This window comes from Homo sapiens, chromosome 3 (assembly GCF_000001405.40).
Source record: "Homo sapiens chromosome 3, GRCh38.p14 Primary Assembly".
Taxonomy (NCBI): domain Eukaryota; kingdom Metazoa; phylum Chordata; class Mammalia; order Primates; family Hominidae; genus Homo; species Homo sapiens.
In genome coordinates, this window is record NC_000003.12 from 5,203,919 (window position 1) to 5,220,626 (window position 16,708).

General features: G+C 44.0%; 1 protein-coding gene across 7 annotated transcripts in view, besides 2 other annotated features; it reads left to right on the forward strand.

Annotated features, from left to right (window-relative positions):
- Positions 1 to 16,040, forward strand: part of EDEM1 (ER degradation enhancing alpha-mannosidase like protein 1) — a 32,252-nt gene extending 16,212 nt beyond the window's left edge. For 4 of the 7 annotated variants that reach the window (XM_011534272.3, NM_014674.3, XM_047449266.1 and 1 more), the window contains 7 exons: positions 1,149 to 1,323; positions 3,235 to 3,355; positions 4,175 to 4,345; positions 6,257 to 6,330; positions 7,202 to 7,298; positions 9,401 to 9,604; positions 11,911 to 16,040. In XM_011534272.3, coding sequence (XP_011532574.1) covers positions 1,149 to 1,323; positions 3,235 to 3,355; positions 4,175 to 4,345; positions 6,257 to 6,330; positions 7,202 to 7,298; positions 9,401 to 9,604; positions 11,911 to 12,000 — 932 coding nt within the window. In that variant the 3' untranslated portion in view covers positions 12,001 to 16,040. Of the gene's footprint in view, positions 1 to 1,148; positions 1,324 to 3,234; positions 3,356 to 4,174; positions 4,346 to 6,256; positions 6,331 to 7,201; positions 7,299 to 9,400; positions 9,605 to 11,910 lie in introns of those variants that run through there. The other 3 variants (XM_047449264.1, XR_007095771.1, XM_047449265.1) reach the window with 3 other exon arrangements.
- Positions 1,597 to 1,836: an enhancer, noted in NCBI's record as "active region_19384". NCBI's record gives its function as "activates an Ori minimal core promoter by ATAC-STARR-seq in GM12878 lymphoblastoid cells {active_cell/tissue: GM12878}" and the evidence as "EXISTENCE:reporter gene assay evidence [ECO:0000049][PMID:35858748]".
- Positions 9,466 to 9,967: an enhancer, noted in NCBI's record as "NANOG-H3K4me1 hESC enhancer chr3:5255069-5255570 (GRCh37/hg19 assembly coordinates)". NCBI's record gives its function as "activates a minimal SCP1, AML or CMV promoter by ChIP-STARR-seq in naive H9 embryonic stem cells {active_cell/tissue: H9 hESC(naive)}" and the evidence as "EXISTENCE:reporter gene assay evidence [ECO:0000049][PMID:30033119]".
- Positions 16,041 to 16,708: the final 668 nt, after the last annotated feature.

Here is a 16,708-nt window from a genome sequence, read left to right on the forward strand (position 1 = left end):
GACAGGGTCTCACTATGTTGCCTGACTAGTCTCAAACTCCTGAGCGCAAGCAATTCTCCCACCTTGGCCTCACAAAGTACTGGAATTACAGGTGTAAGCCACTGTGCCCAGCCTAGGTGTTATTTTAACTCATGTAACTGTCTTAAGTTCTGAAATTTATGTATACATTTGTTGTATTTAACAACAGCAATAGAAATAAAGAAGTCACTCAAATTGTCAGCCTATCACCAAATAGTTGACCAGTGTCACTCCCGATTGTCAACTTTTTAGGTTTCCATAGACCCTTTCAGCCTGGCCTGTGTAACTTCTATATATTTTTCATTATAATATAAACATATATTTTGATTCTGCCTGACATTTGGCAGATCATTTGTTTCCAGGTTGTTGCCTTGCATTCATAATGACCACTTTTGTTGTTGTTTTTATTATTAAAAAAAATTATCTTTTCCCTTTTCTTTTTTTTTTTGTCTTTTGAGACAGGGTCTCCCTCCATCACCCAGGCTGGACGGCAGTGGCACAGTCTCTGCTCACTGCAACCTCTTCCTCCCAGGCTCAAGTGATCCCTGGGATCAAGTGAACCCCCCATCTCAGCCTCCTGAGTAGCTGGCACTACAGGCACCTGCCATCGCACCCAGCAAATTTTTTGTATTTTTGGTAGAGACAGAGTTTCACCATGTTGCCCAGGCTGGTCTCGAACTCCTGAGCTCAAGCGATCCACCTGCCTCGGCTTCCCAAAGTGCTGGGATTGTAAGTGTGAGCCATCATGCCTGGCCACTTTTTCTTTTTAAAATCATCTTTTTTTGGATAAATTCCCAGGAATGGCAGTACTGGGTTAAAGTCTGTGAAAAACTCTTGGGTTTTGAAATGCATCGTCAATCTGGAAAAGCAAAATGAGAAACCTATTTTTATTTTGCATTAAATGTTTATCCCCATGTTTGTGTCAGTAAATGCTATATATTTAGAAGATGTCTAGGCTAAGTTAGTGATAAGACTGATAAAAATGTTAGGTCCAAGCAACCACCTCCTTCTCCTGTATGCCAAGGATAAAGGTGCTGAGGAGCAGTGTGGTTGGAGTAGGAGGCCTGTCTCCATTCATGTCCTCCCCGATGAGACAGCTGGGACCTCAAGTGCCTTGTTTATTTTTGCAGGCAATGTCGTGAACATTCAGACGGGCCACTGGGTTGGAAAGCAGAGTGGCCTGGGTGCCGGGCTGGACTCCTTCTATGAATACCTCTTGAAATCTTACATTCTCTTTGGAGAAAAAGAAGACCTAGAAATGTTTAATGCTGCATATCAGAGTATTCAGAACTACTTAAGAAGAGGGTATGTCTCCCTAACATCTCCTCTGTTGCCTTGTAAAGCAAATAGAATGCATTCTGAAGCGTTTGTATTTTTTTTAACACACAATCACAGGGTCTGTTTATCTCTGCCCTCACCTTACCACCTCTCCTAGTTTGTCAGTCATCTGGGGGCAAAGAGCTGTGTTATCTTTCTGTCGCTGCATAGCATAGTACCCCAGAACCTAGTGGCTTAAAACAACAAGCATTATCTCATGAAGTTTCTTAGGGACAGTAATCCAGGAGCAGCTGAGCCAGTCATTCTGGCCCAGGATCTCTCCTGAGGTTGTTGTCAAGCTGGTGGCCAGGGCCACAGCCATGCTAAGGCCCAATGGTGCTGGGAGATCCCCTTCCAGGCTCACTTTGGTTGCTGGCAGTCTTCAGTTCCTCTTTGGCTGTTGGCTGGAGGGCTCAGTTCTTTGCCAAGGGGCCTCTTTGTAGGTAGCTTATGGCCACTGGCTTCCCCCAGAGTGAGTGATCTGAGAGAAAAAGAAAGAGGCCAAAATGGCAACCACAGTGCTTTCATGACTAGTCTGGGAATGATATACCAATACTTCTGCCAGACCATTAGTCACCCAGATCAAAATGATACATTCAGTGTGGGAGGGGGCTGTGCAAGCGTGTGGCTCGCACGGATGGAGGTTCTCGGGGGCCGTCTTAGAGACTTGCTGCTACTACAGGGGCTGACACATCCCAGTGTTTAACTGTGGCTTTAATTGCAGATAGATCTGCAATGCAGGACAATGTTTTGGTTCTAATACTTTACAAAGAACTGTTAGGATTGGTTTTTATACTTGGTGATAGAAAGGACAGTTACCACATTTTTTTTTCTCTCTGAGTTTGTTTAAAACATTATTCACCATTTTCTGTTGTTCCTCCAGGATGACAGGAGAGAGAGAGCCATTTGAAGCTACAGTGGCTTCTACGTAGTGTCACTCTCTTTCCCAGATCTTTCTTTTTTTTTTTTTTTGAGTCAGAGTCTTGCTCTGTCACCCAGGCTGGAGTACAGTGGTACGATCTTGGCTCACTGCAACCTCTGCCTCCTGCGTTCAAGCGATTCTCCTGCCTCAGCCTCCTGAGTAGCTGGGATCACAGCCGTGCACCACCTTGCCTGGCTGATTTTTGTATTTTTAGTAGAGATGGGGTTTCACCATGTTGGTCAGGCTGGTCTCAAACTCCTGACCTCGTGATCCACCCGCCTCGGCCTCCCAAAGTGCTGGGATTACAGGTGTGAGCCACCACACCTGGCCCCCAGATCTTTCTTTGTATGTATTTCTATGTTAAGTGTCCAGTTTCAGTGCAAGTTATAGCTACTGAGCTTCCTGCTTGGATTTTCTTGGGTCCATTTCTACATTGCTGTTGTAGGAACCACTTGTATGTGCTATGTTTAAGTAAGGGGCCTTTTGAGTGGAATTTATTTATTTTTGCTTTTCAAAGCCACAAACTAAATTGAGCAGTAATCCCCAAGGGTCTTGCTCTGATGCATTTCTCCAGGCCCATGCTGTAGGACATTACTAGAGAAGAGACTCTTTGTACCAAAAGAACCAAGCTTTTCTGCTCAGGTGAAATCCAGCATAGGCCCATACTATATACTGAATTCTCTTATGTGGCAGGGCTCTTAAACCCAAAGCTCAAAGTGCTTTCTGCAGAATACTGTGAAATCCTGACATATTACAATGGCTGCGTTAGGAACTTTGATCCTGTGGAAAATATTATCTTCTGCTAGAGTCTAATGTAGATAATTAAAGGCAGTCTGTCTGCAGAGGTTTAAGGAATGAGTTAGGAGAAAAAATTAATGTTAATTCCGTTTAAATGAAACTACCAGCAGCTGCTGGAGAGGTAGAGATCTGTCAGTGAGCTTTCTTTTCACCACTGAATGTGCTGCTTGGGTTTGCAGGCGGGAAGCCTGCAATGAAGGAGAAGGAGACCCTCCACTCTATGTCAACGTGAACATGTTCAGTGGGCAGCTGATGAACACCTGGATTGACTCTCTGCAGGCCTTTTTCCCTGGACTGCAGGTATTTTGCCATCAGATTTCCTAAGAATAACCAATCACCAGAAAGGGCTTCTCCCTCCTTTTCTTTCTTTTTTAATACCCTGAGCATTCTCTGTCTCCTTTGGATTTGGGAGGTCACTGACACTATACGTCTTCATCTCTCTGTTTGAGAAATTAGTCTCCAGAATATTGAACAGAGCCATTCCACACAAGTGCAAAACCGTGCTTGAGAAGTGACTGTGTGTGATTTTTGTTTTTGTTTGTTTTTGTTTTGAGATGAAGTCTTCCTCTGTTGCTCAGGCTGGAGTGCAGTGGCGCAATCTTGGCTCACTGCAACCTCCGCCTCCTGGGTTCAAGAGATTCTCCTGCCTCAGCCTCCAGGGTAGCTGGGATTACAGGCGCCTGCCACCACATCCGGCTAATTTTTTGTACTTTTAGTAGAGACGGGGTTTCACTGTGTTGTCCAGGCTGGTCTCGAACTCCAGGCCTTAGGTGATCTGCCCGCCTCAGCCTCTCAAAGTGCTGGGATTACTGGCATGAGGCACTGTGCTGGGCTGTGTGAGATTTTTGGATAATCCATCGCTCAGTTGTTTATTCCTTGTTCATGAGTACACGTAATCTCTTTTTCTGTGTGCAGCTCACATCAATTTGGCATTAGTGGCCAGATAGGGAGGGCATTTATTTGTCTGGGTTGTCACTTTTGGGTTGGTTTTGTCTTTAACCGTATGTGTAGGTCAACTAAGAACTCGGGGGCAGAGGAGAGCCCAGGCAGGCCCTTTGTGCCATGTCTTGTCACTCTAGGAATGGTATCTCAGCCTGATGACCTGTGTCCTCTCCTTAGGTGCTGATAGGAGATGTGGAAGATGCCATCTGCCTTCATGCCTTCTACTATGCCATATGGAAACGATATGGTGCCCTCCCTGAGAGATATAACTGGCAGCTGCAGGCCCCTGACGTTCTCTTCTACCCACTGAGACCAGAGTTAGTGGAATCCACATATCTCCTCTACCAGGTACTAGAGTTGTGTTTTTTTTTTTTTCCTTTCACTGCCTCCCCTGACCCCAGCAGTTCATTCTTAATGAACATTTGCTGAGTGATTTAGGGTTATGTTGTTTCATAGTGACTCTGATTGAGTTACCCCCTATCCGTAGTCTTGTTAGTGTTCAGTGTCATTCGTAACTTCACAGGACAGAGAAGGCATCTGCAGTCAAATATGTTTTTAACCTAATATTCTACAAAGCTGAATCATGTTTTTACCGTAGGACTTATAACTCACATCTTTAAGTATTCATGAGGAAGATTTGGTACTAAGGTGTTTTCCAAATGTATGTGACCAGAAGACCCGTTTTTAGGATGCAATTCTGCATCAGTGTACTGTGGAGCCCCGGTCTGTGTAACAACTATTCAGACAAAAAGAAAATTCATTTTCTTGGTTGTAAAGGAAATCATCTTGGATTCATCTGGATGCCTGTTTTTGTTTAATGTTTGTGTTTGTGTGTGTGTGTGTGTATATATATATACACACACACACACACACATATATATGTAATAGTGTTCATCCTTTGTGAAATTACTTCAGTGGTAGAGGGAATGTGACTTTAACTGTGAAATGTCTTCTTCCTGACGGTTGAAGCCAGGTATTTATACTTCTGTGTATGCCATACATATATACACACTGAGAGTCCTCCTCCATCCACATGCACAGCAGCACGAGTGGTTAACTCACCAAGAAACTGGCCTTGGTGAAATTCAGTAGGCCGGTAACAGATGCCCACCGTGGGCCAGCCCTAGCAAGCAGGGCCTGAGTTTTAGAAACTCTGGTAGTGGGGAGTTTTAGAAACTCTGGTAGTGGAGCTAACACTAAGATTTGAATTTATTTATTCAACAATTTTTTTATACCAAATCCTTGCCGTTTGCTTCAGATGAAAAAAGGGGAAAGAAATCCTGTGAAACTGGTAGTAGTCCTCATGCCTAAAAAGGGACTTCATGAGTTTTAGGTAACCTCTCAAAAAAGGGAAAAGATAATAGCCACCTGTTTGGCCTTTCTGAGCCCAGTAGAAAGACTGTACACGGAGGATGGCGTGCCGGTTACTGGCTGATTTCTTCTCTTAAGCTTAGTCCTGTGGCCTGTGAGCTTACTCCTCTTTGTTTCTGTCACTGCTTCTTTCATGTTTTCCGTTTCTCCTTCACGTTGACAGAGATGTCTTGCACTCTTCAGCTTTACCCTCCGAAGCCACACCCTGTGCACTTTTAATCTGGAGACTGCTAACCTTGTTGTTTGTTGCTGCAATCTGGCACTAGGCATGAATTAAAGATCCCCAACTTTTAAACTGTTTGTTGGATAAAGGCTTATCTTCCCAGAGAAGTTTTTCTCTAGTAAAACCATCTAAGAGTATGTGTGAGAAGAGTAGGCAACTGAGGACTGATTTCTCAGGGTGATTAGAAAGGAAAGGGTGGCGGCCTCCTTTCATACTTCGGAAAGTCTTGTTCCCATCAGCCTTTCCTCATGGTGCCATAACTGGAATGGCGGCAAGGTCCTCTTTCCTGTGCCTGTGTCTTAAGTTTCTGGAGAGTTCTGAGGCAAGATAGAAATTGGATTTGTTCTCAGATATGGTGCTGTCAGCGTGGGCATTGTTTTGTTTCTAATCATGATGGCAACCAAAGTAGACTATTGTTCTACCCTGGAACAGATGGTCTTACCCCTGGCTAAAGTTAACCAAATCACAGGTACTCTTTGATGTGAACTGACGGAGTACCTTAGTCCTCTAACCATTGTGACCCTGCAAGATAAATGACCTGGGCCCTGTTTCTTCCTTTGGCTGGCGACTCGTCTCCATGGGGAAGCCCCGCAGTCACCATGATGTTTGTCGATGGCATGTCTTCCAAGCCCATGCTGGATCACATTCTCTCGTGTTCTCTCTAGGCAACCAAGAATCCCTTCTACCTCCATGTAGGAATGGATATTCTGCAGAGTCTGGAAAAGTACACAAAAGTCAAGTCAGTTTTCTAAGTTCCTACCTTTTTCTGTCAGCCACTTTTAATTTATTTCAAATTGTTTTGGGGAAATATCCTAGTTTGCATTTTAATTTATAGAACCAGGTCATTAATGTTACATTTACAGGGAAATTGCTTACCTTTTGGTGTAGTAGAACCTTTCCATTGTACTGAGAACTGCCCTTTCTTTTCCGTGAGGTTCTAGCAGATTATGGGTGTTCATTCTAACTTCTTTCCCCTAGTTATATAATAACATATACGCTAAAATGTTTAGGGAGTACAGAAAATATAAAGCAGTAGAATATTATCACTGTAATCTCCACATACAGAGAAAACTGTAGTCAGTATTGAAATGTATGTACTTATAATCTTTTAAATATTTTTATATATGATGTGTGTATATATGTATATATAAGAAACATACTCTATATTTCAATTTTGTGACATGCTTTTTTTTACCTGCTGTAAGTTTTTTTTTTTAAGTACTATCTTAAATAATAAGTCAATACTCAAATAATAAGTCAATTCTCAATAATAAGTCAATTCTACAAGTATTAGGACTAGAAATTTAAATTAGTCCTTTTACATTTGTTGCCGGTCATTTTCCTGGTGCCACGTTATGCTTCTGGCCAGCACCCCGCCACCACGCCCACACCCTCTAACTCACCTGATAATTTAGCAGCCAAAAGCACTTGCTAAGTAAATTTGCAAACAACCCAGGCTATAAAAAAGGAGAGCCCCTCAATGTAAACATAGTTTCATATGGTGTTGGATGACTGGTTGATTATTCTGATAAGAGAATGTTTCTGCTTCTTAAGTGAATCAGCAGGTGGGAAGGAAGAGAGGCAGGACTGACCAGATGATTGTTTTGTAGGTGTGGGTACGCCACGCTGCATCACGTCATTGACAAGTCCACAGAAGACCGGATGGAGAGCTTCTTTCTCAGTGAGACCTGTAAATATTTGTATCTGGTATGTGTGTTGCAAGATGAACCCAGGAATATTTAGTATTGCTTAGAGCAAGCATTCGCATAGTCTTCCATCTGACAGGTACTTACTGGCTAAAGCTATGTGCTGGACATTGTGCATTCCCAGGATGCAAACGCTGTCAGAACCAAAGGATATTACTATCTTCTTTCATGGTTTCCAACCTTGTTGAAAAGTCATTTGTCAAGTAAACCAAGAACTGAACTTATGATTACAAACTGTGGGAAATCCTGGTAACGATTGATACAGAACCAGTGTTAGTTCTGTATCTAACTACAGGTGGTCGGGGAAGACGCCTCTGAGGAAGAGAGCTGTGTTCATAATGGCTTCTCACTTCTCTTGATGTATGTGATCTTAGCCAAGACCTGCAGCTCAGCCTTGTCTCTGTCCATACACACATCCTCAGGCACATGAGTGAGTGAGTGTGTGTGTGTGTGTGTGTGTGTGTGTGTGTGTGTAGAGAGAGAGAATTTCTGGACCTGGACGAACCCTTTGGTATTACCTAATGTTCATATGTTCATCATTTCCCTCACAAGAACTACAGCCTACACAGAGGTCAGGCGACTTGCTCAAAGTATGGCGATGGCTGTGGCAGAGCTGAGGTGTGAACTGTGGTCCTGACTCCCTGTCTGGTGCTCTTTCCATCTCACCGCTCTGCCTCGTGCATACAGCCACTCTCGTGCCCCCTGCCACTTTCCTCAGTATGGCCACATAGAAACAGAGGGCAGGATTTCCAGGTTAGAAGATAGCATGGCAACTGAGAACTTGGGCAGAGGGTCAGAGATAGAAGCAGCTGTGATAAATTGTGTTTATCTAGTTCCGTGGTTCCTAGGCCTGGGGCTAGCTGGGTCCAAATCACCCTGGGGCCCTTGCTAAGATGACAGCCATATTAAGTCAGAATCTTCAGAATAAGCGGGCTCAGAAATCTGTCATTTTGACAAGTGCCTCCAGTGGTTTCACATGAGCCAGGTTTTGGAGCTGCTGGTCTAATCCATTAAGACGATACTCTTCTCTGTCTGGGGTCTTTTCACAGATGACTGCAGAGGTATGTCCACCAGCAGCCCATGTGATCTGTCCAGTGGGAAGACAGCTGTCCTGCTGTCGATTCCTGTGTGTGCAGTGGTTCTTGCTCTCCTTGCAGGTGGCTCAGTTCTGCTAAATCAGGCTGGTCAGAGCCTAGCTACATATTTCCATCCAGCAGCCACTGGTGTCAGAAGGACGTTAACAGGGCGAGTTTTAGAGTAAAAGGAAGGTGACCCTGGAGGGTGTGCTAGCTGAAAGAACCTAGAGTCTGGGGAGAGGAAAACCTGTGGTCTACCCTGTTCTTCTCTTGTTACTGTGTAAACATTGACAAGCTGCACTGAATCTCATTTTTCCTCATCTTGAAATAGTTTAGGTGACCAATAAAGTTTCAAAGAGTTTCTAGGTATTCATTCATTCAACATTCACAGAACACTTGCCTTCTCCTGCACTGTTGCATCCCATATTGGGTTAGATGTTCTTTCTAGATGCTCTTTCGTTCCGTGTCACATGCACCATTGAGGGAAAGGACTGTGCCTTGTGTCCATTGCGTCTTCAGAGCCCAACCCTTGTTGTGCAAGAAGTGAAGTGAATGTTGGCAGATGTGTTGGGCTCTGTGCTAGGCCCTGGGGAAATGGTGGTGGATAAAACTTGGTCCCTCCCTGTCAGCATTTACAGTTCAGGGTCTAGGTGTGTGTGAGGTTGGGTGTAGTTCTAGAATTCCAGCAGGAGAACTCTTAGGTAGCACATGGAAATCATCCAGTGAACTTTTATAGACTACCTGTGCTTGGGCCTTAGTTTCAGAATTTCTGAGTCTCTGCGTCTGGGCAGGGTATGTGTAGGGGAGAGGCAGGTCTGGGCATCTGAGTTTAGATGAAGCAGGTGATTCTGCCTTGCAGCCTGGGTTGGGCACCACAGTTGTCAGTCAATTCCTTTTCACCCAGTTGTCACTGAGAAGCATGAGGCCCAAGCAAATTCTACTCCCTGAGTAGCTGGGACACGCCCCCATGATTCAGTTCCCAGTGTGCTACAATTATTGGTTGTATCTTTTTCTCCGTTCCCTCTAGCTGTTTGATGAAGACAATCCAGTACACAAGTCTGGAACCAGATACATGTTCACAACAGAGGGACACATTGTATCTGTGGATGAGCATCTTCGGGAATTGCCATGGAAGGAATTCTTCTCTGAAGAGGGAGGGCAGGACCAAGGGGGAAAGTCTGTGCACAGGCCGAAACCTCATGAGTTAAAAGTCATCAACTCCAGCTCCAACGTGAGTTGCTTTTTCCAGGGGTGATTTGCATATAGAGGAAGAGAAGATACTATGAATTGCTTAGTTGTTCAGACTTCCTGACAGAAAATTGATGGTGTATGCAGATTGGGAGATTTGAAAACACCTCCTAAAGACACCATTTACATAGCTGTTGTCAGGGTATAGGGAAACCGCAGGAGCAGCGGTGGCATCATCACTGCTGGCTGCAGGTGCTGGTGGGGAGAGTGGCTACAGGATCCTGGAAGGGGGGAGCCTTGTGGGAGGAGCGAGCACTCAGCAGGAGCCACGGCTCAGATCTGACTTTCAAGGCCTTGCCTGGAGGGAGCCGGCAGAGTCAACATGTGACCCCTCCCCGCTCCCCCAGTTGCCTGCTGGAGCATCTTCTTGGCTGCCTGGGGCAGAAGCTGGAGGCCGAGGGAGCCTGTTGATATGATCCATCAGTGGACCTGGAGGGGCAAATGGAAGACATTCAGCAAAATCATTTACCAGCAGCAGAAGGGAAAAAAAGCAGTGATGGTCACGATGGTCCCAATGAAGATGCTCTTCGAAGTGCAGCAAACACCCACATTCATTTAAAGTGGGGCTTTACTCCACATGCCTAGATTGTCCTGAGAAGCAGCAGGAAAAATTTGGAAATGGAAGTCCTTGCATCCCTAGTGAAAGTATCAGGTAGTTGTGTTGATTTGAATCAAATAGGATGATTTGGAAGTGAGGATAGGGAAATGTAGGTCAGTCAAAATTTCAAATCTTGTTATCCCCCAGGGCCTTGGTGGTCAGGAGTTCGGCAGCCTCCCCACAGATGGGTTGCCTTGGCATTAGGGGTGCCCTCTCATCGCCGACTGTGCTTCAGTGCTTTTCCGTTAATGCCCCAGTGAAGGTCTTCACCATCAGTCTATGAAGTAAATCGATAGGCCAGAGTGTAGATAACCACCCCCGCCCCCATTTCCATCAGTCATGGAGCGCTGATTGAGTGGACAAAGCATAATCGGGAGGAAGGGGAAGGAGGGTGAGAGGGGGAAGAGTTAATAACAGCCAGCATTTGCAAACACATACCAGGGTTAGCCTTTGCACCATTCTAAACGCTTACGTACATTAATCTGTTTACTTCTAACAACAGCCCTGTGAGGGGTGGTTACTTTTAACATCTCCATTTTACAGCTGAAGAAAGGGAGGCACAGAGAGGTTCAGGTCCCACAGTGGAGCCAGGATTTGGACCCAGGCAGTGTCTTCTCTTTTAGGAAGGAGACATCTCTGACCTGCCATACTCACTAATAGATCTGATCCCATGATTCCAGGCACCAGGGATTCAGGCCCTCAGAAGGGCTCCCGGTTCTGGATAGGAGCATGGCCTAGTGGGGAATCCACTTCCATCCTAGGCGTTTGTCTGTAGTGCTGTTGAAACACAGAGGGTAGGGAGTAATCTCCAGAGAAAATCAAGGCAGGATTCCCTGAGGAGGTCACTTGCTGGAGATCCTTGAAGGATGAAAAGGGGTATCCCAGAAAGGGTGTTCAGGCAGAAGCAGTAGCACCTGCAAAAGCACAGAGATGTGGGCTGGTGGGGGCAGTCGGGACCAATGGAAGGACCGGCCAGTCTTGATCTTGCCAGGGATGAGGAGCAGGGTGTAGTAAGTTCAACTTACTACAAAGCGTGGGGAAAATGTTTCTTTGGAGATGAAGCAGATAATGAATGTATTTAGACAACTGCTTCCAGGGATGTCACAGTTGGTTAGTTCTCAAGATGTGCATCTGCTTTGAGGAAAAAAAGTGGTGGGGGTGGGGGGGTTTTAATTAAAGAAATAGTCTTAAGCATTTAGAGTTTAGTGAGTTGTGAATGAGAAAAACATAGCTCAGAAAAACACAGTATTTTCAAGTAGCAGAAATGTTTTCTGAAATTCTGGGCGGACTAAGGACCCCAGGGATGTGGCTTTCAGTCCTGGCCACGAAGCAGTTGCTGCGATGCCTTTTAGCTTCCCTGGATCTGCCATTTCTTTATAAAGTGAGTGAGGATGTTAAATTATGTCACTGGTCTTCACCTGAGGGTGATTTTGCTCCTCAGGGAACATTGGAACAGCGTCTGGAGACGTTTTTGATTTTCACAGCTGAGGCGTAGGAGTTGCCACTGGCACCTAGTGGGAGAGGCAAGGGGTGCTGCTGACCGTCCTGCAGTGTACAGGCAGCTTCCACAACAGTTACTTCCAAACGTCAGTAGTTCACAGGCTGAGAAACCCTGGATTAAGTCATCCAGTCACATTTCCTGAGAGAGCAACATATGAGTTTTTAATTTTCCCTCGTTTTTGTCTTTCTAGTGCAATCGTGTACCTGATGAGAGGAGGTACTCCCTGCCCTTAAAGAGCATCTACATGCGACAGATTGACCAGATGGTTGGTTTGATTTGATCTGCTCTCTGTGAGGCCTCATCTTGAACCAGACCTTAACGACCAAACCCAGACCATGCCAAAGTCCAGTCTGAAATGAAAGGGGACAGAAGTCTTGCTGTCCATGGTGGTGTAGGAATTTCTGTGCAACACCTCACCACGTCTGGTTAATCCTTGCACACTTCAGTGTTTCTCTCCTGTTCAATAAAATGCCCTGTTAAGGATATAATTTGAAGTGAGAAGATACATGGAAATTGCCCTCTTATGACATGTTGATGTTATAAGCACAATAGATGGGGCATCTTTGGATTGATGTTCACAGCTTTATACTTCAGAACCTAAGTCTCTTCACTTTGCTGGCACCTGCTATACTGGAGTATTGCTATGTCTTTAAAAAATTTTTTTTATTATATTTTATTTTTTTGAGACAGGGTCTTGATATTTTTTTGGGACAGGGTTACCTGGGCTCAAGTGATCCTTCTGCCTCAGCCTCCCGAGTAGCTGGGATTACAGGTGAGCACCACTGTACCTGGCTAGCTACTTCTTTGTTAGAGGATTGAGAATGAAATTTCTGCAAAAGGGCCCATGGTTCATTTGGTATCCCTATTTAATTGCATTGAAAATGTCATCCTTTCTGTTGTTAGATAATTGGGGTCTTCCCCTGATATCCAACCGTGATTTTGGATCACATGGGAGAAAAAGTCATCCAGTTTTTCATGTTTGCCTCAAGTAATCTTTACAGTGTTACAAATTATTTGCTTAAGAAGAATGGTCTTAACCAGAATTCTTAACAGATAGTCTCTTAGGTTATTATGTTATGGTCTAAGAGGTTAACTGACATCTTTTGGGTGGTATTTTGCATTTTGAATATGAACTTACCTGAGGAACTCCCATAGTTCCAGAATCAGGTGCCTTTTAGGGAGAGAACAATACCTAAGATTGTCTGAGCTTCCATCTTTCTCATATTTCCTAAGCAAGGATTCTCACTTCTGACCATATTTGGGTTAGAGTTCTGTTTTGTTTCTGTTTTCTGTGTCTAGTGCCAATTAGCTAAATCAGGGAGAAAGAAATGATCACATGACTTTTAGCATCCTTGAGCCATTTCTCTGTGTAATACAGGCTTTAGATTAGTGCCTTATATTGGTTTTGGTTTGGGGCACTGGATGTCGCAGCTACTGCTATGGTTTCAGGAGGCCTGTTTAGCCACATGGTGAGACCGTGGTGAAAGGGGGATGGAAATTGCTTGGCCAGTCTTTGCCTTTCATCCTGTAAAAGTAAGCATGTAGAAGGAGGAAGTTGTGCTAAAATGCCTTTGTTTTTTTGTTATTATTTTCTTAGCCAGAACATCTCTCTTTGAACTCACACTGATACACACCTGCTACTCTTACACAGTGCAGCAGGGTTGACTCTTAGTCTGGCTTCCATGAAGCGTCATGGGTGGAAACGCATTCTAGTAAAAAAGGTAGGAAATCCCTAAAACTTCCAGCCTCACATAGCACGGTTCTCACCTGTCACTGTTTTCCCACCTCTAAGGATTTCATGTACATCTTTTCAAAGCTAGAAATAAGCACTGTCTAAGTTTATGTTGCATTTTTAGTCAAAAGGGAGAAATCTTATTCCTTCTTGAAAATTTTAAGTGTTATGGTTTTATATAGTTCAGTTCTTTGAGATTTTTGAAAAGAGTATTTTCAGTAATAAACGTGCCATCTCTATCTCTTAAACATTTATTACAACAATTGTTTTAAAATAGAAAAAATAAAATGCTTCTATTTTACCTTTTTTCATTTCAGAAGCATTATTCTGTTTATTAACAGTGTCCCATCTACTGAATAGAAAACTTTGAGAATAATATATATATATATTTTAAATGTTTTCACTGACTCATTGAAAATGTTAATTACACACACATGCATGCATGCACACACGAGCATACTTGTACCTTTGTCTCTGGGCAAACAGGTGGGACTGTTAGTGACCCATTTGGGAAAATAGAGCATCTCAGAGAAGGAGGTGAGTTCTTCCTGCCTGTGATTTCTCTTGGCGCTCCCCTCCTCTCCCGCTCTGGCTTCTGTGGCGGCAGTGGTGGGTAAGCACTCCAGTGTTCTCTTAATGAGGCACTTTGCCTGTCACTCGAGCAAGCCTGGGTGTTCCTTCCTCCTCATGCTCCTGGAATAGGGAATAGGGATCTCATGCTTGCAAACTACACAATGCTGCAGGTGCTTCCCAGGGGCCACAGGCTGTCAGGAAACGTGTTTTATGTTAAGTCACAAACCCACTTGACTTCTGGGTACTGGAATTAATACCAGTGGGTGAGACTGAGGGTGAGTGAGTTAGTACATATTAATCCTGGTTGTTGAGCTTCCAGACTACCCCGTCCAAAGTTTGATGCTATGTAGTCAGTGGTTTGTGGGGCTGGATGCCAGAAGGTTCTTTGAGCCAGTTTCAAAGGTTACTTGTTTTTTTTTTTTTTTTTTAAAGTCAGAATGTTAACAGCTGTGATATATCCTGCAGGGCTTTTGCAGTTTCTTCTGTTCTGTGTTCTGAAATACTGGGTAGAGAATGGCTGAGGAGGAGATTACCAGAGAAGTTGCTTTGCTCAGTGCTTTGCCCCAGGATTGCCTCAAATCTGAGTGGACTTCATCCTTTGCGGCGGCTCTGAGCCTGGCCCATCTTCCTATTCCCACGTGTAGCTAGTGTCTAGTGTCAGCTTTGCTCAGTGTGGTGGAAACATTTTGCAGAACTGTTGTAGAAAGCTGCCTTATAGTTGGCTTGACAAAGCATAATTCTCTCATAACAAACTTTCAAATCATTACAGTAGCTTAGCTACTTTAGTTGATGTGACCGAGGAATCCCTTCTAGAATCATAGGTGGCAAGGGAGGGTTTGCTAGCTCTCCATTTGCACTGGCCATTGTGAAAAACCAGCTTCTGTATTCAAATCTTTCCTTCATTTTTTTAAATTTTTTTTTTGGCAGCGCTTGTGCTGGAACTTACTCATTGTAACTGAATCCTCAGGGCTTTTCTTGTTTTAGATCATGGACTGTGCACGTGACACTTAAATAATTTTCTATGTATTTAAAGAAAAATGCACCAGGATGGTGTCTGTGCACGTGACTATTAGAGGAGCGTCTGTAGAAGTACCTGGTTTGGTCAGTGCAGTTGTGCAATCTGAGGGCCTTGTTTCCTCCTCCCCTTTCCCCTTCTCCCCACCAAAGGAAAATATCCCTCTTAATGATTTCGTAGTTCAGTTTACTGAATGATTACCACCTGTAATTCCTCTTTGGATTGTGTAGACTCAACATGAGACATTCCTTTCTGCTTTCTGGAGGGCACCAGGGGCCTTTCTCTTTGATAAATTTTTTTTGTCTGTTGACAAAAACAAAAATCTTTTTTCAAATGTAGTGCTGGTGAAAAGGTAGGGCTGAGTGATTACCTTAGCCACAGGGTGGCTGAGCAGGAACTTTAGAAGAAAATCCTGAGCTTTCCTGTCCATTCCCAGCATCCAGCTCCTATTCTAGTGCCTCTTCCCTGCAGGGCAGGGACCCCTTGGGAAATCGAGGAGGTGGGACGGGCTGGGCCCTGTGTCCCAGGTTTCACAGGGCTCAGGGTTATGCTCCCGCTTGAATCTGGACGTGAATCTGGTAAAAATATCAAGTACCTGTGGAACTCCCTGATTCTATACCCTCTTCCTTCTTTCTGCAAGGCAGAGGAATAATATTTTTAAAGGTTATTTTGTTTTAGTTTTAAATAGCAAAACACAAGCTGCATTTTTATTTATTTTGCATAAGAAAGGTAAATCTTTTTACAAAAAAAAGTATAGAGTTGGAAACTCTGGGAAAACTTACGGAAATACACAAATGCTTCTCTGTAATGTGCAATATGCTTTGCAACTGTAGATGATATTTTATGTTTAATCTGTAAATAAGAAATGTATTTAAATTAAAAGGGATCTTTTTGTAAAAGGACCAAATGTTCTTTTATAAATGTAATAAGGAATATCTTGCTCTTTAAAATTTATTAGGATTTTTATGAGTAATTTTTATTAAAAGATTTCTTTTTTTGAGTTGTCATCTTGTTTCTTTTTTACATTCTCATGTACATTACATTACATGCAAGACAAATGGGAGAAAAGTCTCTAAAGGAAGTGCCCATCTAGATGAATAAAACCTTGCTTTTTATAGCTAAGCCCTAAGTAATACCTCCCCCATGGAATTCCACTACATTTTTGTATGTCACACTCTTCCATTAAATGCCCCTCACATGCAGGTCAGAACTGCTTTTCATGACTTTTGTCCCAGCCCTGGCCTTCCCCTCTGCATCAGCCTCCTTTCTCTTGGCCACTGAGTTCATTGTCTATTCTTATTGCCAATTAGCTGAGTGTATCTGGGATCTAAAACCAGTTCTCTGCGTTATCTAAGCAAGGCGCTTCATTTCTCCTCACCTCTGAGAGCAGTGGCACTTCACGGTCTGTGTGGGTGCAGAGGCCCATGGGAAGCGTGTGGGTAGAGGGTTCTGGAGGGCTGGCCTCCCTCCCTGTGTGTTGCCACTGGGGACCATGGTGGGATCCTGAGGAAGGGACCTGCTCCTGCTTTGTGACATCTGTGTCCCAGCTTTGGTCACAGACAATTTTGATACGGGTTTTTTTTTTTTTTTATTTGAGACAGAGTCTCACTCAGTCACCCAGGCTGGAGTGCAGTGGCACGATCTCGGCTCACTGCAACCTCTGCCTCC